Source organism: Homo sapiens, chromosome 6, assembly GCF_000001405.40.
Source record: "Homo sapiens chromosome 6, GRCh38.p14 Primary Assembly".
In the NCBI taxonomy this organism is placed as follows: domain Eukaryota; kingdom Metazoa; phylum Chordata; class Mammalia; order Primates; family Hominidae; genus Homo; species Homo sapiens.
This window is the reverse complement of record NC_000006.12, coordinates 87,990,894-88,014,399: the sequence shown is the minus strand read 5'-3', so window position 1 is coordinate 88,014,399 and position 23,506 is coordinate 87,990,894. Positions and strand designations below refer to the sequence as shown.

The 23,506-nt window shown below is 39.9% G+C and overlaps 1 long non-coding RNA gene across 1 annotated transcript; it reads right to left on the bottom strand.

The window, feature by feature from the left end:
* Positions 1–16,066: 16,066 nt before the first annotated feature.
* LOC107986541 (uncharacterized) lies at positions 16,067–21,596 on the bottom strand. The gene is made up of 4 exons (XR_001743884.1): positions 21,490–21,596; positions 19,282–19,454; positions 18,672–18,857; positions 16,067–17,249 (listed from the first exon to the last, which is right to left on the bottom strand). It is a non-coding gene; the product is annotated as an uncharacterized LOC107986541 (long non-coding RNA).
* Positions 21,597–23,506: the final 1,910 nt, after the last annotated feature.

Below are 23,506 nucleotides of genomic sequence, written 5' to 3'. Positions count from 1 at the left end.
ATACCATTTCTATTTGAAAACAAGGTTTACTGGGCTCTTCACAGCTTGTTACCAGTTGAGTCCAAGTTGACCTACCCCACAATGAGAACTTCAGACTGGAAGTCCAAAAGTCTCCATGAATTAGGCATTCGATGTTGACAAGAGCCAGATAGCAAGTTGTTAATAGCTGCTTTTCAAAAGAAATGTACCTGGTAGCTATGTCAGTAAGGTAACAAGACCAAAATCCCAAGGAGCACCTCTAGATAAAGGCTGCCTCTCTTTACCAGAAGTTCCCATCAGCAAAATCATCAGTCATGGAGGTTTGTAGCTCACAGGGGTAAAAATAGACTTCTTGGTGGTGGTGGTGGTGATCATTGTTGTTGCTTTTTTTTTTGAGTCCCACTTACAGGGTGCTGATTTTCAAGTTACCCCATGTACAGGACCAAGAAAAATGCCCAAGTGAGGCACATACTGTCTCTAATAACCAAAAAAAGTACAGTAAGGTGCTGGGTCTTCTTTTTGGTGGTGGTTGGCTACAGGCAGTAGTTTTTTCTTGACTGATGGAGGGATTGAACATTGTGAATCCATACATGGTCCCAAAAACCTTCACTCACTGAGCAGGCCTCTGAATTGTGTTAGGATTTTCAGCCACCCCTGCTGGCAGACATGGGATAATACCACAGTCAGGATCTTCTCAGGCTTCTGACTTGCTAACCAGGAGGATATCATCTGAATAGTGAAAACTTTGGGCATCTGAGAATGGACACATTCATGCTAAATCCCAAATCACCCGCTGGGCGCAAATATCAGGATGGTTTATCCCACTAACACTTCTATACATTAGCCTCTCTTTGATCAGGGGAATCCCCTCTGGCAACTTCTGGGACAGGGAAGTATGGGAATATAAAACATCAATTCATACTAGAGATTCATCCTATCCACAAGGTCGTGTTAACTTCCCTTCCCTACTGTATATCCAACCCACCCCCTGTCACTTGGGACTTTGGGGTAGGTTGTCTATGTCCAATAGAACTTAAAAGTTTGAGGTCCTTCCCTCCCCAAGCTTTCCCAGCATATTCAGATAAGTGTATAAGGCCTCCAGTTGCTCTTGGGGACAGGGAGACCTTGGCCCAGCCCCAATCCTCCTTCTCTTTGAAGCAGCTGAGTTCAAGGTCAAGAGAGAGGGAGAGATCACAGAGGTGCAGAGGAAGAGAGTGATTCTGCACCGGAAATCAAGGCTTTGTATTTACTTTCAGTTTTAAGCAGTCACAGTGCAGTGCAACCAAATGAACTTCTAATGACTTTAGCCTGTCTAAATCTCTGCATCTTCATTGCTGATATCGTTTATTTCAGCATCACTGCCTCGGTAGCTATAGCCATATTGTCTTTTGGCTCTGGCCACAGGACTCGCTGCCTCATTGTCACTATAACATTTCTTCTTCTTCCCACCTGAGGCAAGCAAGCAATGTCAAAAACACTGTTCTAATTGCTTGTTTTATTCCTATGCCCTTTACTTGGCCTTAAAACATATATTAACAGGCAGGACCATGGAGACCCTTACTAATCCCCCTACAATCCTCGTTCACCAATTGGATAAGAGTGTTATCACTGGATTCTAGAAAATCCTTTCATATTCCTGAACCTGGCCCATAGGGTACTTATCCTTTCTTTTTCAGAAAGCAATGTCTGTGTCAGCATCTTATATTCTCACCAAAAACTGCTGAGAACTACAAAGGGTCTGAGGTTTTACCTGCTTGCAAACTAACAAAGTAGCCAGCCATGGTTTCATGGATGAGGGCAGAAAACACTAGACTCCTGGTTCAAAGATAAAGCACCTTATTAGTCACAACACAGCAGATGGCATGAGCTTCATATTTATGCTGCTTCCTTTTGCCCCTCAAATTCAGGAGTGATCTGGGGAGGGCCTGCATGAATGCTGCACACACACTGGCAGAGGAACCATGAGCTCAGGTGTCCCAAATCTTTCATACTAGACAGTAAGCAAACCTACCTACCACCTGCTCCCGAGGGGGACACTATTATCTTCCAAGGCTGTTTGCTATACAAACATCCTTGAAAAGACAGTTCCAAACAAAGGGACAGTTAGAGCCCCTTCTCATGAAACATGCAGAAATGCAAGGCACCCAAGTTGAATTGTCTTTGAGCATCCAATCGTCTCCACTTGATATTCCCTCACTTGTTTACTTTTTTATTTGTCTTTTGCTCCCAACAGAACATAGCTTTATGGGATCAGGGACCTTCTGTGTGTTGGTCTCTGCTCTTCCCCTACCATCTAAAACAAGACTTGGCATATAGTAGAAGCTCAGTAGGTATTTGTTGAACAAATAGATTTCTCAAAATCTTACTTGTTTCTGAATACCCAGCTTAGATGACCTGTCTTCAGAGGAGCCATACCAGATGCTGTCATTGAGATTTATTAGTCAGGCATTTGAGCTTTCATAATGCTTGAACTTTTGGCATGGCACTTGTAATTGGACTTGTGTTATGGTTCCTTTTTTTGAGACAGAGTCTTACTCTGTCGCCAGGCAGGAGTGCAGTGGCACAGTCTCAGCTGACTGCAACCTCTGCCTCCCAGGCTCAAGTGATTCTCCTGCCTCAGACTCCCGAGTAGCTGGGACTACAGGCGCGCGCCACCATGCCCAGCTAATTTTTTTGTATTTTTAGTTGAGACAGGGTTTCACCATGTTGGCCGGGATGGTCTCGATCTCTTGACCTCATGATCTGCCCACCTCGGCCTCTCAAAGTGCTGGGATTACAGGCGTGAGCCACTGCGCCTGGCCAGTTCTTTTTTATTCATGTTTGTCTGGCTAGATTGAAAAACCCTTGAAGGTGGGGATGGAGTCTTATTCATAAGGCTGAGACTAGGGTGAAGCAACTAAAGAACCTCAGCGCAAAATTTAAGGAGGTACCCTCAAGCACATGCAAATGTGCCCTACACACTTTGCTTGCCTGACCCTAGTCTAGTCCTGCTTACTTGTCTTCACATCTTCAGAGCCCACTAAAGTGGCTCTCATCTAATAGATGTTCCACCAGTGTTTATTCAGTTAAAATGAATAGGATCGCTAACTGAAAGTGTTCGACAACCATTTGCTTAGTACGTAATATTTGCCCTTTGACCCTTTAGAGGCACGTTCACCATTCTCCGCCCTGCTTTGTGCCACAGAAGGCTGACCTGTGTGAACTGTATCAAAAGGCACTCTTGCCTCTAGCTTCTAGTTGAATGTGGTCAGTGGGAACTCCCAGTAGAAATTGGAAGGGCAGAAGGAGGATGAGTTCAGGGCCCCAGCTCCCTTGCTGCAAGGTCACCTTGGATTGGCTATTTCCTCCAACAAAGACACAGCTCCTGTCAGTCAGACCTCTCTTACAGGTACAGTCACTCTCTTCAGGTTACAACAGTTGCTCCCACTCCTTGCTCCTTCGTGCCTAAGACAGGTGATGCCTCCCCATTGTGGCTGCCTCTGGAATGTATTCCTGTACCTTTTTGTTTCCCTCCATTCTGACTGCATCTTTTTTACATAGTTCATTTATTAAAACTCTTTCAGGCCAGGCACAGTGGCTTACGCCTGTAATGCCAGCACTTTGGGAGGCTGAGGCAGGCAGATCACTTGAGCCCCTGAGTTCGAGATCAGCCTGGGCAACATGGCAAAACACTGTCCCTACAAAAAATACAAAAAAAAAAAAAAATTAGTGGGGTGTGGCAGTGTAAACCTGTAGTCTCAGCTACTTGGGAGGCTGAGGTGGGAGGATCACTTGAGCCCAGGAGCTTGAGCCGGGGAGGTTCAGGCTGCAGTGAGCTGTGTTCATGCCACTACACTCCTTCCTGGATGACAGAGAGAGACCCTGTCTCAAACAAACACACACTTCCAATTACTTCATTTGATATGCTATTTTTTTTTTCCTATTGAGACACTTAAAGAACACGATATTGGACCTCAACAGATATTTTATAATAAATATGGGGAAAAGCAATGATAAAATATATCACTTAATTTTTTAAATATAAAAGATATCATTTTAAAAGAAAACTTGACAGCAACTATATGGTATTTTATTGGTTTCAACCAAATGAATTTAATTTCAATGGATCATGATACCTAAAATTGATAAAGTAATAAAATTAAGCCAAAGGGAAACCAGTTTGAAGGCTGGGAAGACTGATGATGTATTATGGATAATGAATGCTAGAGGGTGGGGTATTTTTATAATTCACCTTTTTGTCATTAGTAAGTTAATCGCAAATCTATGCACCAAAATGAAAATGCCCAATCAAAGGAATACATAAAGCCTTAGATGACTCCAAGAATTACTAGGGCATAAAGACTTAAAAGAGTCTGAAAACTAAAGGATGCCTAGGTAAAATAATTTCAATTATCTTAATGATTTAACAGCGTAAGTATGAACATTTCTTGATAACAAAATGGCATTAATGATTCTGGCTGGCAAAAGAAAAGCTTTAATTTACTAGAAAAGGGTTAAAGTTGATATACTGTTTCATCTGGGAAACTCAATTACTGAAAAGCAGAAGAACAAATTGATTAATAGGTGGTTTTAACAATGGTTTCATGCTTTGGTCACTACAAATAGAGGGAGGAGTGATGGAAATCCTACTAAATTCATAACATCTTAATAAGCCTAGAGGATTTTGGATTCTAATAGCAAGTTTATTTTGAGATGGGACTGACATTTACATTAGATTTCATCTCTTCTAATAGTGCCTTTAAAAAAAAATCTTTGAACAAAATGGGATGGCAATTCCTTAACTCTTTCATCCCCGGAACTAATTACCTAAAGAAAGAATATGATTGTGTGTTAAATTCTAAGCTTATTTAGAAGATGCAGCACAGAATTGAGTAATTATACAGATAATTGAATCCCCAAGCCTTTCTCTTTATGCAGAGTCTAAATAATTGACGCAAGGATGAATTATCCAGATTCATTATCTCATTTCTGGACTTCATTTTAGTAATTACAAATTAAAATTCAGCCAACATTTATTGAACAGCAGCTGATTCCAAGATTTTCCATATGCTGTTCCAGTTAATCTTCCTAGCACCTTTGTAGTGTAGGTGTCATTAATTCCATTTTACAGATGAGGAAGCTCAGATTCAGAGAGGTTTATAACTTGCATGGAATTGGATTTGAAACCGCATCCCCTTACTTTAAGTCTGGCAAAGTTTCCTTTAAAAACCCCGTGGATAAATAGATGAGAAATGAAATTTGATCATGGTGTGAAAGCCACACATTCTGGGAAACAATACTAGCCAGGGGATGAGTTTGCTGTTCTGAAGTTCTAACTGAACATGCCTTGAACATTTCTGAGGATCCTGTCATCAACCACACTGGGAGCAGAGCAGGACTAAATTTACACCCAAATTGATTTGTTTTCTTCATCAGTTACCTCTCACTTTCTCTGGAAATGATTTATCTTTCCTACCTGATTTTTGAGTAGAGGAAACATTATGACATTAATTGGTCACCAGTTAAACAGTGACTCATGATTTATGTAAGGAATATAGAGCTTTTCCGGAAGACTACATTTCCCTTTGCCAGTGTTACAGAAAAACATTTCGTCTCACATATAGAAGATCAAAACTCGGAAAGGGAACAAGCATTTAAAAATCCAGTGCCTGTGGGGAGGAAAATGTATCCAAAGAGATAATCCCTCAGGCACTTACTCTCTCTTATTCACCAAGAAAAGAATGCACACGACTGAAAATATATGAGAAAACTGAAAGAAGCAGGAGCTGGAGAAAGCCGGAACAGAATAGCTGTTGTCTAGAAAAGAGCAGTTGGTTCTTGGTTGGTAAAAATACCAATCGCATTCCAGTGGTATGTGACTTAGTAGAACCAAAATAAGTGACATACTGGTCCAGAGAGAAAACTGCCCCAGGTCTAAGGTATTAGGAGAAATGAAGAGCTACAGAATGTATTCAATGAAACATGACTTTCATTTGCATTTTCCCCTTGATTTGACTTTGTACTTCACACTTCCAGCCTTCTACACATTAAACAATGAAATGAACTTATTTCTAGACCCTCACTCAGCAATCCACACAAAATCTATCTCAGGCAGTGCCCAGCAGAAACCAACCTGTATAAAAGCCCAGAAAACCCCAGCAAGATTTTTCCCATTTTTTATCCCACAACCCTCCTCACCTTTCTCAGTCCATACATTGTTATAGCCTCATTAAGAATAGTCTTGAGTAAAACCTACACTTTCATATTTTTCTCCAAGAAACCACTAGAGCAAAACTCATATAAAGAAGAATCAAGCAGTCTTTTCAGATAAACGTATTAGAAAAAGGCAGTTTCTATGTTCACTCATTCATTCCACATTGTTTTAGCAGTACCTACTCATTTCCAGCCTCTGTGCCAGGTGCTGGGGATTTAGAGGAACGATGTGATCTGGCTGTCAACCTAGATGAAGAGACAGGACACACAGTACATTGTAGTTAGGGTACCTCACAGATAGGAACACCAATCTAGGATAGCACAAACATAGAAGTTTTAAAACTTTATTATCTAGAATATGCTGTTGCATGATTTGTTGATGGTGTTTCTCGCAAATAAACGGGTTACAAATGCAACACTGTGGGCTCTGGCCAGTGCTGCAACCCTCCCCCTGTCTATAATTCTGAGGTTACTTCTGGACAAACTGTAAGTAGTCTTTGTTGTCTGGGGTGGCTTAAAGGGATCTGAGGGATGCTCCTTTACAGTAAAGAGATGTTCTCTTTACTTGAGCAGTTTCCAGGTGAGCAAACCTTTGACTCAATTGTCAAAGCCTCTTACTAAGCCCCTCTAAATATAAGGACCTTTTTTTTTTTTTTTTACAGAGTCTCACTCTGTCACCCAGGCTGGACTGCAGTGGCGCGATCTCGGCTCACTGCAAGCTCCACCTCCCGGGTTCCCGCCATTCTCCTGCCTCAGCCTCCCGAGTAGCTGGGACTACAAGCGCCCACCACCACGCCCGGCTAATTTGTTATATTTTTAGTAGAGATGGGATTTCACCTGTGTTAGCCAGGATGATCTCGATTTCCTGACCTCGTGATCCGCCTGCCTCGGCCTCCCAGAGTGCTGGGATTACAGGCGTGAGCCACCATGCCCGGCCAATGATCTTTTTTTTTTTTTTTTTTTTTTTTTAAAAAAAAAAAAAGCTGTTTGGTGGGGGAACTCTCAAATCAAATCAAATAAGAAAAAAATGCACACGAATATTTAACATTGAATGTATTCTCATTTGTATCATATGCCAAAGGAGGTATCACAGGAGATGAGCAAGACGCCAAGTTTTCCCTTTCGTTAAACTTGCAAGAGTCCTGTAAATGGCAACTCTTGAGCACAGAGGAGAGGGTTTTCTCTTCATTTCCTAAATAGTTTTTCCTTCTGTTAGGCTTTCAAAGTGGAGAACGTAATCGCTACCAGTGCTATCCCCCATTTCCCAAGCATTGGCTCCTTCGCCCCTGGAGGGAGGAGGAGCCTGGCGGGAGAGGAGGGGAAGCAGCGGAAGGGTCTCATTCAGCTTCTCCTCCGGGAACCTTCCTCCTGCTGCCGGGATGGCAGGCGTGGCAAATAGAGGTATTCTGCTGCCTCTTCACCACCTTTTCATTCTACTCTCCCTGCCTTGCAAAAAGTCACAGAAGGTCACCAAGCACATAATCCATCATGGCGTTTTGACAGAATACCCGCAGCCCTGCTGAGGGAAGACATGAGGTCATTAAGGGCTTTCAACGCAGACGAGGAGGAACCAGATTATATATGAGCCAAATTACTTATCTCTTGGCCATGAGGGATATTAACGTTGAAATGAATTTCCTAAAGGCTATTGCAGAATCGTCCTGTCTGGGCCCCTTGAGAAGAGAAGGGGTAGTGTCTGTCTAATGCTAGATGGGGGGAGAAGAGCTTGGGAGGAAATGGCATAGCCCCCACTTTTTCTTCCAGCCTTAGACTTCTATTAAACTTCTGTTAGATACTGGCTACAAAGTGCTTTTTGGAAAGTATTAGATTTGAAGTGAAACAAATTGCTGGTCATTTACTTACACTTTGATCGCCTTTGGGTATACACCAATTGTTGATGACAAATAACAAAATTAATGGAAATCGTCACTGAAGAGAAATCTCTACCTACCTTTCCTCTCCCTGTAGGCTTCCATAACTGAGAGAAACAGTTACCAGATTCTGCTGGGGAAAATACAGTTAAGGCATAAAACCAAGAAGAAATGATGTTGTAAGTCAGTGACCCTGTTTTATCTCCTAAACAACCACAACCACACTCAACATTTCAATCGACTTAAGTGAAAACGTGAATTGGGCCCCTAGTTCTCATTGATTAATCACACTGGGAGACAAATCAGCCAAGAAACCAATTGAATTAAAAGGCTGAACAAGATAAATAAAACCTGGGAACAATCCTTTAACACAGACAGCTATGACTCAGTTATGAACGCTCAGCACAAAATGATCCTGAGGAGAGAGAAATGACAGTTATCATTATTATCGTTAACATTATTAGTTGCTATTATTACATTTTATTAAAAACTCATAAAAAATAGATGTGCCATTGTAAAAATTATGTCAAGAACTTAAAACATAGCTAGAGAAAAAAGAAAATTTCAGGTTTTCATGATTGTGCTTAAATTAATGTTTAATACATCCTGCTAACTTAATTTTTTTTTTTTCGCTTGTGACTCATCTAAAAGACTAAAAGGATTTTTACATTTTCAGAACAGGAAGATAAAGAAATCAGGATGCTGCAGCAAAATAAGCAACATTCTAGTTGATAATTATCTATCACACAGTATAGTAACTTTTAATTAATTTGGTCACAGTTTAATTAAAACTTAAGTTTTATTTGATCAGATCTCCAGGAAGCTAGTGATTCGCATTTGCATTGTGCTTAGAATGCACATTTTCTTCACCTCCTGTTATCACCAGGTAATTCAGTAATGATTGCCTGCGACTAAGCTAGGCCTCCATATCGGTCACAAAATTTATCACCTCACTATAGAGTGACCTCTGCTTGAATCTCCTTAGGTTGCTCTAACTTGTTTTATTCATGAGGCACTCTTGTTCCAGGAGGCCAAATACAGTGATCAGCGGCAAAGGTCAGCACCTGTCTTTAGATAGTCTCATAAGTCAGTGGCTCTACAAGGGGTTATTCCACAGCATTATACATTCTGGACTGAATGTACAGGAAAAACAAGGAAACAAGGAAAAGCAAGGCATTTCCCTTTCCCTTAAAAAGGCTGTGATCTGTTTTAGGAAATCATGTTCATCTCTTATCCCCTCACAAGGGCCTCCAGCCAGTCTTGCTGCCTTCTAGCTCCTACTCCCTCCTACCACAGATCTCCCCAGCACCCTTCAATCTGATCAACATCTTTCTACAACCACTTTGATTCTGTCACTCTCCTCAGGAAAGCCGAGTCCAAATTCTTCAATCACCAGATTGCACAACATTGTGGCTGCATTACATAAATCTCTTCTGCAGCCTCACCCCTAATGCCTCACAATGAAGCTGGCTCTGGCCATCGTCCCCACCTGAGCCACCACCTCCCCTCTCTGTTTAGTCACATTCCACCTGTACTTCAAGCTCCAGTTCGCCTCCACAAACTTGCCAGAATATCCTAGCCCTTAGCTCTTTCTCCCTTTCCTATTCATGGGACTTTCTGCGTCAGCAAAGATTTCATTTAGCAATCAACCTTCCAAATTAGATCACTGGCTTCCTGAGCAGAGGCCAGGATTTACACCTTCTTGGTTATCCCCAGGCCCTACCCCAGCATTATTTTTCCTCAACAATTGTTAGTACGTCATGATGGACAGTGATAAAAGTGGTAAAGAATTGATGGTGTAATACCTTAAAACATTTTTAATATGTCAACATGCACAATCATTATATATTAAAATTACTTACATCTTGCCTCTCCCTACTATACTATATTTTCCCCAAGAGTCTAGATCAGGTTGTCTACTTTTTTGCTTTATTCCAAATGCCTAGCATAGCACTGCACACACATTGTAGAGATTTATTAAATAGTTGCTGGTTTAATTTAATTAATTTGATATAGCTGACACAAATATCTACAAAACCAAATATAAATATCTGTGCCACCACTAAATACTATAAGTTAATTGCTATTCTTCAGCAATTTTAGTACATTGTCCTTGTACTGACACTTCACTTCTCAGTCTAATGGGTTATTTATTTAATTAATAGCTATTGCCCATTAGGATCCATTAACATATCAAATTGTTTTTTCTGAGTCTTGCCAAAAAATAAATTGTACATGTTACTCTATGACTCTTGATTGTATTATTTTAACATCTCTTTGATGATCTACGAGTCCCTAATTAAGATAACAGATTAAATATACAAAACATTAAGTTTATAACTCCTTTGTGAAGGCAAACCTAAATATGAATTTGCTGATATTTTAATTTTTTTTCTAAAGTAAATCAAGGTAAAGTAAATCAATTTGATTTTGTAGGACTTTGTCGTGCATAAACAACAAATACACAAATGCACAGACACACTTGGGCTAATTCAAGTTGGGTTTCCAGGAGTTTCTGTGATTTAGTTTCAGGTTGTTTATTTGCCCCTTAGAATTCTTCTTGGTTGTTGCTTCTGGCACATCAGAAGATGACTTTGGGTAATATGTCCTTCTTAGCTGTAATAAAGTGCTGTGTTGGAATCAAATCGGCTTCTACTTCCTACAAACTGTCCATGCTCCATTGAGATGGGAAGCTGCTAAGAAAACAGAAAGCTAAATAGCAGCAGGCAAAATAAATCAATGTTCAAGCCTACCTAGTAAGCAAGTGAACCAAGCCGTTGCCATGAATGTGGGCAGACTGAACTTAAAATGGCTGCTATGAGACACTTGGAAGAATCTGATGTCGTTTGCCCTATTTCTTAGATTTCACACACTGAAAGACTTCCTTTTATCTTGAAGCAAACAAAATAGACAAACATGAACAAAAGTAGACCATGGTCTTATTTTTATATGAGACTTAAATGCAGTCCATGGTCAGGTATCTTGCCATCTCTGTTTTACTTAGGACCAGATCGTTTAATGAAATTATTGAATTATTAAAGAAGCACTTCTCACCAGCCCATCCGTCATTGTATAGGGATTTATATTTCACAAACAAAATCAATAGTCTCGTGAGGACATTGCTGCTTATATTGCAGAGTAACACCATCTGTCAACACTGAAACTTGGGAATTTTTTCTATGACTTGCTATGGAAGCATCTTATATGCAGAGACCTTTAAAAAAAACTTTCTACGAGTGCCTCTTAACTACACCAAATTTGACATGTTTAATACTCCAAAAAAAAGGGCATAAATAAGGAAACTCACTGTAACATTCTCAGCAGTCAAAGCCAGAAAGGATGCATAGTATTCTTACCATCTGGGCCAGCCACAGGTAGGAAATGTCCACTGCAGAAAACTGCAGAATCTCATTCTTCAAAGGACCAACCCACATGCCTCTACCCACACCCACACACATACATGCATGTGCACGCTCTATGTGCAGAATCAAGACTATAGATGAAAGGTCCAAGGGTACATAATCACATTACACATCACCAGTTTATTTTCTTACTCCAATGCCAAAAACCATAAGGAGATGTATATCCCTCAGTAGGTGCAGAGAAGGTGACTTGGGAGATAGAATTTTTGCTGAAGAAGTGATGTGCAAGGTCGGAGCCAGTTCTGGTTGTAAAAATTCTCAAAATGGCAGGTGCTGTCCACAGAGGTTTTTGTCAAAGACCACTTGATGACAAGTTCTTTAAATTCTACTGTGTCATTCAAGATAAGAGTGTCAGATGTTTTGGGCATTAGGTTTGCACAGCTCATCCCTATGAAAACATTTTCTACTTTTTCAACCAAGGAAGTAGGTTAAAGAGATTCTCAGGAAAGAATTCTTGGAAAAGAATTTCTTTGCTCCATTGATAATTTGTGGAAACCACTTTAGCTATTAGAGCACTGCGGCTTCAGATGGGTTTTAACAGATATTCCGAAATCTCTTCATTTTGTTTTTTTGTTTTGTTTTGTTTGAGACGGAGTCTTGCTCTGTCGCCAGGCTGGAGTGCAGTGGCGCCATCTCAGCTCACTGCAACCTCTGCCTCCCAGGCTCAAGCAATTCTCCTGTCTCAGCCTCCCGAGTAGCTGAGATTACAGGCACGTGCCATTACACCCAGCTAATTTTTGTATATTTAGTAGAGATGGGGTTTCATCATGTTGGCCAGGATGGTCTCGATCTCCCAACCTCGTGATCCGCCTGCCTCTGACCTCCCAAAGTGCTGGGATTACAGGCATGAGCCACTGCACCAGGCCCTTGTTTTTTTTGTTTGTTTTTAATATTAATGGATGCAGGGTCTCACTATGTTGCCCAGGCCAGTCTTGAAACAAAATCTCTTCTAACAAAATACAAGTGTATAGGGTAAGATGGTGTCCATCCTCTAAACTTAGTCATTATACTTCTGTCTTTAAAGAAAAAAAAGACTTAACGTTCTCAAACTACTCAGACCTAGTCAGTACACTGTACCAATGTTAGTTAGCTGTAAATTATTCATTCTTTTTTTTTTTTTTTTTTGAGATGGAGTTTTGCTCTTGTCGCCCAGGCTAGAGCGCAGTGGTGGCGTGATCTTGGCTCACTGCAACCTCCACCTCCTGGGTTCAAGCGATTCTCCTGCCTCAGCGTCCCAAGTAGCTGGAACTACAGGCACGTGCCACCATGCCCGGCTAATTCTGTATTTTTAGTAGAGACAGGGTTTCACCATGTTGGCCAGGCTGGTCTCCAACTCCCGACCTCAGGTGATCCGCCTGCCTCGGCCTCGCAAAGTGCTGGGATTACAGGCATGAGCCACTGCGCCTGGCCAGATTATTCATTCTTAATGGATGTCTACACTGTGTCAAGGCACTATTCCAGATCTGATAACACAGTAATAAGCAAAACAGACACAATACATGCCTTTGCGGAGCTTCATTCTGGTTGGGGAAATGGACAAGTACATTAATAAATAAATAAAAGACTGTCTGACATTGACAAATACTACAAATACAATGAAACAGGCTAATGAGGCAATGGCATTCTGAATTCAGATAACACAAACAGACAATAAAATTTCTTTGAGAAAAAAATCCATGTCCTACTTATCCTTCTTAAGACCCCTGGTATCTAATGCAATGCTTGATATTTGGTAGATGTGCACTTTTTTTGCAGTTGAATTAATTCTAAATGCAAAAATAAATAAATAAATAAATAAATAAATAAATAAGACATCGCTGAAGCAAGAACTTTGAAATAAAGGATTAGAAATTCACCAATAATGCTTAAACTCTTTTGCAGTCAAATTTCTAATACAAATGGCAACCTGCACAGGAAAAGCACTCAGAACTGCTCTCTGCCAAAGGATGGAGCTTCCATCCTTCTGATCAGAGCACTGCACAAAATGCTCCTAGTCTGTCTTAACTGATATACTCTGCTCCCTGGAAGGAAGGGGGTACTGGCTTCACTTTGATTCAGATTTATTATGGCAGGACATACAATTGCTTCATTACTGCTGGGACTTGAGGGAGATTCAGAATGAAACCCAGGTGTTAAAAGCCATTTGATGCTGAACTCTCAGCCATACCTCCTGAGGGGTCAACTGACACACCAAGCGGAGAAAGAAGTCATTCTCTCATGGACAGCAGGCTGCTGAAACAGTGTCCCTTCCGACTGGCCAATCAATGGCACATTACAAGAACGGCAAAGAGAGGTCACAGGTTCCAGCAGGAGGTGTTAGGTCATTTATTTATTTCTTTAAGTTGTTGGTTTAGCTCCTCCAGACGTGTCTATTAGAGAAAGAAGGGTAGGATTGGTTTTTGTAGTTTGTATTTGTGATAAAATTCTGTGTTTGAGTCACACTGGTCTCTGCCTATTTATAATTTTTTTTTAATGCAGTGTCCATACAGCAGAAATAAAATTTTGTAAAATCATTCATTAGAGTAGTATTTACATTGTACTGTTAGTAGAAATTGTTTATTTACAACTTAGGTTTTCTATTTATTAGGATCATTAGTAGGAAACAACATTCTCACTTCTACAGGGCAACTTGATGTCACAGACGGAGCACTGGGATCTGAATTTCTATCTGAGCTCACTCATGCACTGGCTCTGGGACTTCTGGCTTTGCGGTCACATCTGAATTTTGGCTTTTTCCTCTCTTAGCAGAATGAGCTTGGCAAATTACCTATCTTCCCCAAGCTTCCACCACCACCTCCATAAAATGAGGATGTCAATATGTACTTCAAAGTTTTTAGGATGACTATTAGCATCATAAATGTCATCATTTATGTATCATCATGTCATCATATGATGCCAATATGTATTAGTTTGCTAGGGCTGCCACAATAAGATGCCCCAGAATGGGTGGCTTAAACAACAGAAATGTATTTTCTGACAGTTTTGGAGGCTGGAAGTCCAAGATCAAGGTCCTAGCAGGAGTGGATTCCTCTAAGGCCACTCGGCTTGCAGATGGCCATCCTCTTGCTGCTTTTTCATATGGTTGTCCCTTGTATACTTGTGTCCCTGGTGTCTCTTCCTCTTCTTATAAGGACACCGGTCATATTGGATTGGGGCCCCACCCTAATGGCCTCCCTTTAAATTCTTGCAAGGACTTGTCTCTAAATATGGTTAAATTCTGGGGGGTGGGACTGCAACATATGAATTTTGGGAGGACACAATTCAGTTCATAACATAATGTTTATAAGGTGTATAATAAATTAGATTCCTTTCCTTTTCCCTTAATTTTACAAATTGGCCTAAATCAGCAGGTTTCAAAGTGTGGCCACAGATCATTGAAGGTCAACAAGATCCTTTCAGGGGATTTGTGAGATCAGAACTATTTTCACACTAATATCAAGATGTTATTTGCCTGTCAGGGTTGACTTTTGTACTGACAGTGCTAAAGCAATGGTGAATAAAACCACTGGCCCCTTAATACGCATCAAGGCAGTGGCACCAAACTTTGCTTATAGTCATTGTATTCTTCAATATCATACACTCGTAGCAAAAAAAAAAAAAAAAGGAAAAAAAGCAACAATTTAACTAAGAGTGTCTTTGATGAAGCAGTTATTGATTTTATTAAATTTCAACCCTTGAATACACGTGTTTTAAATATTTTGTGTGATGAAATGTAGTGCACACATGAAGTACTGCTTCATAGCAAAGTACAACGGTTGTCTCAAGGAAAACCACCTGTGTGGCTGAGTTGCAGCTGACCTAGCCACCTTTGTCACAAAGCACCAGCCAGTTTTCTGTTAAGACTTTCAGACTTACAAACTTTGATTTGAGGAAGTTTAACTTGCAGACAAACTATGATTATTGAGACTTTGGTATGTAATGACATTTTCTTGAAAATGAACTAAGTGGACCTCTCAACTGAAGGGAAAAAAAGAACCTGTGTTTTTCAGTATTTGTCCTAAATAATAAAGTGGGAGCTTTCAGGTAAAAATTAGAATTTTGGAAACTTGTATCTGCCACCATGAGATTAACAGATTTCCAAAGTTTAAATACTTTCCTTACATGGCTGGTGGTGATATTAAAAAAATATGATTTTTTGCCAAAATTTGGAAGCTCTGCATAGCCCAGCGAAACAATGTTTTCCAAATAATCAATGCATCCTTTTACAAAATGAGGCATGGGTAAAGAAATTCATTCAAAGTGCAAGGTAGACCAATAGACTTTAAAGTAAAAGTTCGTTGATTTCGTTTCATAATCTATATTATTGAGCTTTGTTGCAGAACCAAAGAAGAATATCTACAGTTTTCTAAGATGATGAAAATATACTTCTTTTCCAAGTATCTATCTGTGTGAGGCCAAATAGAATGGTTCTGAGTTTCCTCCCCCTACCTCTAAAAAATATTGGTTACTGCTAGCCTAGACCAACGTCTCCCAAGGCACAGTACACACACTGCTGGTCATGCATAAGATGGTTCTAATAAAAGCACACATAAACTTTTTAAGGTTTTTATAATTGCAAATTTACTTTAATTGATTTTGGCAAATTATACTGGTTTTCCATGTTATAGTTTTACAAAGCTTTCTTTTTTCATACATTTACTTATATTAAAAAGTGAATTTAATGGAAACATGCAGATATAGTAAAAATGGTGGCAGTTGTATGTGAATGACTGACGTATGGGAAGCTCTGGTCCCAGGATACATTTTCAAAAGCATGTATTGCACTGGGTTATTTTTTTCTAACTTGGGCCTTCTCACCCAACATTTTTACATATTAACAATTATCACGAATGTGAAAAAACATTTTAAATGGTCCATTTTCAAGGCATGATAAATCTAAGTACTGGCGGCCAGCCTGTGGATGTAACAAACCGCACATCTCATGCACCTAGAAGGTCACGATAAGTGAACAGAATGTAGAGGAGGGGTCAGCCCATAAAAGGGAAGAAAGTTTCATTATCGGGAAATCGAAACTTAAGCAGGGAGGGGGGTGGGGTATAACCTTATAAGGGGGATCATGAAACTTAGGCGACATCCGGGAAGATTGTAACCCCACAGTACTCAACCAATGAGGACCTAAGGGAGGGACTTGCATGCTAGGAGATAAATTACCTTCTGTAACTGCCCCGGATGAACCTACCTACCAAACACCCTATCTTGCAAGACCACCATTAAAAGACTTGCTTTCACTGTTCTTCGTGTCTCTGAGTCCATTCTTTGGGTTTGGACAGGTGAATGTGTGTTTTTCACAATGAAGAAACGGAATTTACTTACAGTACAAATTATTCTCCATCTCATTCAGACCACAAAGTTCTATTTGAGGCCCGGATAATTAGTTTGATTTAGCTATCTGCAGTAACAATTTGAAGTCTCCAATTCGTTCTGGATTTTGTAGACATAGCTCTCATTACACAGCTGGTAACATTACTTGACGAAATAGAAAATATTACTTATCAGTTCTTTTACTTTAATCTCATCTTCTGTCTACAAGCTATGTGAAGCCCTAGGCTTCCTTTAAATTAGAAAACCCTCCAAATTCATGCTGTATGGACAATGACTGATACCTCCATTCACTTTCTAACTCCATGGAAAGTGGTTCAGGAGCCAGTCTTGAGAAACAGGGTAGTTCAGGGAACAGAGTGCTGAAGGCAGCATCTGGAGATTTGGGTTCTTCCCATGACACTGACCCAATTTTGCATTGAGGCTTTGGGCAAAACTCAATCTCTCCGGACCTGGCTTTCCGTATCTGCAAAACAAGGAGTTGAACTAAATAATTTTTCAGTTCAAACATCCTGACTCAGAAGAGGGCTAGAAAGAGCTTGTCAGGGAGCCATTTCTCTAGGGGACTGCAGAGGAAAGGGAGCATTCAGCCCCTCAAGAGGCACCACTCAGGACACTGAATGCCAGGCTCTGCCTTTGCGGATATGGACTCCATTTCCATTTGAACGGTGTTATTTTATCTTAATCTGTTACTCTGCAGTGGCACTGAAACTTAATATAATTAAAAGAAGGGGGTGGACATATTGAATGGGTGGCAAGGCGTGGCTGCCTGAGCCCCAGGAACTGTGAATTCTAATCTTGGCTCTGCTGCTGTCTCAGGACACATCATGTACCGTTTCTAAAACCTAGACAGCTTCTGGACAACATCGTTAGCCTATCTCACAGGACTGTTGTGGGAAATAATTTGCAAAAATAGCAGTGTAAAACAGTTTGCAAAATTAAGTGCTAAACTGAAACTTGGGCAACATGCTGAGTATTCCTATTCTGTCCAGCTAACTAATAAATATAAATTTGCTACTAGTTGAAAAGTCCTTAAGAATATAACTACTTAATCAATACAACACCAGCAGCCTGACAAATTAGCATGAAGCCACAAGCCTGAGACCTGCAAGAAATTAAATTGGTGCTTAACAGAAATTGGACTGTGAGCAAGATAATTTATGGAAATTTAAATTTCAACCCACAAAACCTGAACCACATTATACACTTTTAGGTCTAGATGCACGTAATGGCTAGGTCCACATTGCTGTTACACATATTACAAGCAAATGTGAGAAGACAAACAAAAATGTTTTGGGGAACCCAGAAATTTTTTAAATCTATCTGCAAAATTGACACACAAAATATGCTTTTATAATGAATTTTAAAAGATACTTTACAAATTTTTTAAAGTGGCTATTATTGCTCTAAGTAAATTTGTCTTTTAAAATTGTTTCATTTAAACTAGGGAATTTAAGAATTAAGAACTGGAGAGAAAGAGAAAGAAAGAAGTTTATTTTGATGCTCATTTCTCTTTCCTCTAAGTCCTATACAAGCAATTGAACAAGAGACTTGCAAAACTGAGGTTGACAAAGGGGTGTGTGTGTGTGTGTGTGTGTGTGTGTACATGTATGTACACACACAGAAGTCAGGAAAACAGCTGGAATGGTTGAGTTGTGCTAGACCTCTCCTGAGCATTGTGGTTGGTCATTCCTCTGATGGGTCTGTTTTTCTGTTTACCTTTTCTTGGTCATAAAAGCTAGCCATATCTTTAGGGCAGCCTCCTTAAAGGAAGTGCTTCGATTCTGGCATAATGAAAGGTCTGAATAAATGAATGCCAAGAGTTTTTGTCACCTCTGTGTTCCTGGGGACTCCCCGTCTGCCAGCCTAACACGTCTTGCAAACTTACCAACAGTCTGTCCCCCGAGGGCCAGCAGAAGGTTTCCTTGATTGCCCTGTGTTCTTTTGCTGGATGCAAAGGTTTAATCATGGTCAGATTCCCTTGCCTCATTTCCATGGAGTTAAACTAAATGACAATCTGGCACTCCATCTTGTCTCGCAGTCAGCAGGAAATGGCAGCTCCACGGAGACTGATCTGAAGGGAAAATAAACTTTTTTTGCTAGAAGCAGCCAACCCAGACATTTCTTATTCCACAGGTAGTCGATAAAGTATTAATGACTGCAGAGATTTGAAAGGCCCCAGACAAAGAGGCTATTCTAGGCTTTCCCTTTCTGGTTTGCCCTTTAGATCACTTTGTATCTATAGGCAAATGTAACTCAAGAAACAAACTCCAGAATGAGTTATCCCAAATGACACAAAGAGAGTAGACTTCCTGTTTCCCATTATTTCACTGTAGGGAGCTGAAAAACAGCAATTCTTTGCAACTTGCAAGGCTATGACAAAAGAAAAGAAAACTCATGGCAAGAGGAGAATGAGAAAGAGAGAAAGGAGAATTAAACTTCCCTGATTATCAAGTGGAAATAAGTCAAACAATGATACACATGCCAGGTATACTCACAAAGCTCTCTGTGGAAATCTTCATTCCTTTATGGCTGTTAAGCAGGATCATTTTAACAGCTGTTTCTTTGACATTACTTATTGGCATCTAAAAATATGCCAGAAGCTGTAATGCAGGCCAGAGATGAAACTTCCATTTTTCCCAAGTGTTTCTTTTCCCTTCTCTTTTGAAACCTAGTAACCAACAAATGACACATTAATTCCTTGAGCAATGAAATTAAACAAAGTAGGATTAATGTCCACTTCACTAAAATGAATCAAATGAAATAAATATGTGATTGAAACTTGTCAGAATTAGAGAAAATAACCTGCTTATATGCAATTTTTGAAATGAGCACCTCAGGCACATTTAGTGAATTTTGCTGGAAGAATGTGAAAAACAAATAGTTCTCCATGGAATTTCTGTTAGATGGTCTCTAAAACAGCACCCTGATCAAACCGTCCCTCTCCCATTAAAAAAAAAAAAATGTCAAAGCCAAAGGAAGAATTCCGAAAAGTTAGGAAATTGAATGTTTATTTTTGCTATTGTTTTCATACTAAATAGGAACATGAAAGAAATCTTTCACTCCGCAGCTGCATCTAATTTAAAATGAAGCTCCCCAAAGAGGAGTGAAGAGGATGTGATGAGGAGCAGTTAAACATGGATGCTAATATTTTGTGAGGCATCTGGTACTGTTCCACCACCTAGAATTCTAAGAATCAAATTAGTAGATTCAATTCTGCCAAAGTTATCAAATTATTTGTCCAAAGGATTGTGCAAAGCAGGCCCCTCCCTACCAACATCTGCTCTACCCATCCAGTGAGGACCAAAGACGACCATCTATTTGATTTGTGGAGACGGTACGTTTCACCCGTTGCTGGTCTGGCTGAACACTGCACCTTTCATCATCAAAGTCCTCAGTTATTGCATGAATCTGCAGAGAACAGTAATAAACTACTTCATCTTTAGGTCCATATAGAGATAATTCAAAGATTTGATTTGAATTGTAAGATACTTACATAGTTCACAAATATGTTAAAAATGTTTTAGCACCTGTGTCACCATTTTAAGTGAACAACCAAGAACCTCACCAGCAAATAAATGAATGTAGTACTTTTTTGGGGCGTCGAGAGAACACAAAAGGAAAAGTAGTAAGGGTTTTCTTACTACTTGTTACATTCAGAGCCTTTTAATTTGTTTGAGAAATATTATTTAATACTAGAAAACGTGGTAATCCTATCAAGTCTGACTGTCCATCCTTGATGCATGTTGGAATCAGATGACAGACAATGGGCAAAATCTGTTAGGCTAAAAAGCTGAAATGAAAAGTTGCCAGGGATTTTACTTGCCAATGTCTCGCAAGAGGTAAAGAATGAATGACTATTTATCAGTCTGGGATGTGTGCAATTTGGCTTTTGCACATAGGAATTTCTCTTCCCTCCTACCAAAATGAAAACTGGAGTTTGAGGGTACATTAACCATACTGGATTCAAAGACAACTGACTGGAACCTGACCAGCAAGGATGTGGCTGTGTAGCTCAAATTTATGACGGTGCATCTGCTGTGAGTGGTGTCTTGAATGGAGGCCAGGCCCTCTTCCGTCAGCCGCATCCATATGCTACGCATGTGTTCACTGTACGCACACTTTTTAAATTTAGCTCTTGTGGGTACATGTTCTACACTTTCCCCCTGTACATGATTTTTTTAAAAATATGCTTTAGAAAATATACACAATCTTTTCAAAGTCTTTGCTGACTCACTGGGGGTTCTTTTGAATGTTTTCCTTTTGAAAGCCTTCAATTTAGGTAGTCAAAAGTGTGTGACAAAAGCCACCCTTAGTCTACTAAGATTAAAATCTACTGCTCATTTTAAAATAGCTGTTTTGTGATGGCCTGTCAAAAAAACTTCTTTTTTTCTATCCAGAAGCAGACTACAGCTCTTTTTGATAGACTACAACATGGTGAGAAAAGATAGGAAAACAATCATCCTGACCAGTTTGGGCCAGTTTATGTGTTAGTCTTCCAAACATCTTGCATTTTACAGTTTAGTGACAGGACAACACAGGTTTCAGTACTACAACTGTCAGTATGACTGCCTCCGAAGTGTCTCCCTTAGGAAGATGGAGATTCAGACATTTCCGATGTAAAAATTCAAACAACTATGTTGTCCATTAGATTAATTTCCATAGCTGCTTTTTCTAATGTCTGAGTTGTGAATCAAAGTTATTACCTGGGTCAGGCACTCCTGGAACAAGATTGTGAAATTGGTTGGCTGCAACTTTCCTGGAGGCTTGTGTTTTCATCTGACTTTTCGTGATTATATTTTATCATCTTCTTTGCACCTTAGAAAACAAAAAGGCATTATTATTGTGGGTGTTTATAAATATGTTCCTCATTAGCACTTTTTTTTTTTAAGATGGAGCCTCCCTCTGTCGCCCAGGCTGGAGTGCAGTGGCGCGATCTTGACTCACTGCAACCTTCACCTCCCGGGTTCATGCGATTCTCCTGCCACAGCCTCCTGAGTAGCTGGGATTACAAGTGCCTGCCACCACTCCTGTCTAATTTTTATTTTTTATTTTATTATTATTATTTTTAGTAGAGACAGGGTTCCACTATATTGGCCAGGATGGTCTCGAATTCCTGTCCTCAAGTGATCTGCCCACCTCGGCCTCACAAAGTGCTGGGATTACAGGTGTGAGCCACCGCGCCCAGCCCCTATTTAGCATTTAAATGCATACTTTCAAAATGTTCAATTTGTACTTCTTTTGATCCTGAAATCACGGTTCTATTTTTCTTTTTCTATAGACAGATAAGATAGCCAACTATGCTTTCATTTTATTATAATTCCTGGAAGGCCAGGACAATGCTTTTTTTCATTTTGATTTTTTTCTTTCTTCTCTTTTATCTTACTCTCTTCATGACATCTACAGTCTTATGCACACAGAAAGCATTCTTTTTTTTTTTTTTTTTTGTGAGACAGAGTCTCATTCTGTCCACCAGGCTGGAGTACAGTGGTGTGATCTCAGCTCACTGCAACCTCTGCCCCCTGGGTTGAAGCAATTCTCCTGCTTCAGCCTCCCAAGTACCTGAGATTATAGGCACCTGCCACCGCACCCAGCTAATTTTTGTATTTTTAGTGGAGACAGGGTTTCACCATCTTGGTCAGGCTGGTCTTGAACTCCTGACCTGGTGATCCACCCGCCTCGGCCTCCCAAAGTGCCGGGATTTCAGGCATGACACACAGTGCCTGGCTAGAAACCATTCTTAATTGGCTGTGTTTCCCTCTTCTCTTATTACCAAGCCTAAGATTTGGGAAACAATAGCTTCCGAAGTAGTTTTCATCTAATCTCTTAAATCATTAGAAAAATGCACCCAATAATACAACGTGAAATACAAGATTTACATTTTTAATATATATTTGGATACTTATCTCCTCTGAAACACCCTTTAAAAGACAAACTACATCAAACTTTTCGAAGTAATTCTTAGCATTATTGGAAATGTTCACACTTTTGGAATGGTTGACAGGAAAATAATTGGATGACAGTCACATAATTGATTAATTCAGTAAATTCAGCCTGTAAAATAAACCAATTTGGGATATCATATGAAACAAAACATCTAAATATTTCACATTCAGCCAATTAGCTTACCATCAAATAGCCAGCTGTGAATTAAAGGAGAAAATAAATTATCCCTGAGAAATGGCTTTGTACGGTGTATTTCCACCTGCCTTCCTTGAGGAAGGGTAACCCTCTAATTCAATCTAGCTGATAGCTCTAGGTCACTGCAGTTGATCAAATGATAAAGAAAAAAAACCATTAAGGGATTTTACCCAAGGCTGGGAATAATTTAGAACTAACACTCTGAGACTAGAGTTTAACACAACACTCGCTTCATGAATCTTTCTTAAGGCTACTATATGATTTCCATCATTTTCAAAGAAGCATTCAGGGTTCCATGAAACATCACACGCCTGAGAATTTGTGAGTTCCTGTAGGGTCTAGTGACTCCTCTCACATTCTTCCTACTTCATACACAAATTCATGGTGCTCACATAAAAAGCCCTGGCCCTCCTCTGGTCTTGAAAGCAGCCGTCCTGCTGTGTATTCTCTTTTGGTAGAGGATTGGACACAGTTACACTTCACTTGAAAATCTTACTCAGCTAGAAGGCAGTCATTCAATTTCTTCAAACACCCTCTAACATGTGGTCTCATCTCACATCTGGTTCAAAGTTAAATTTCTTT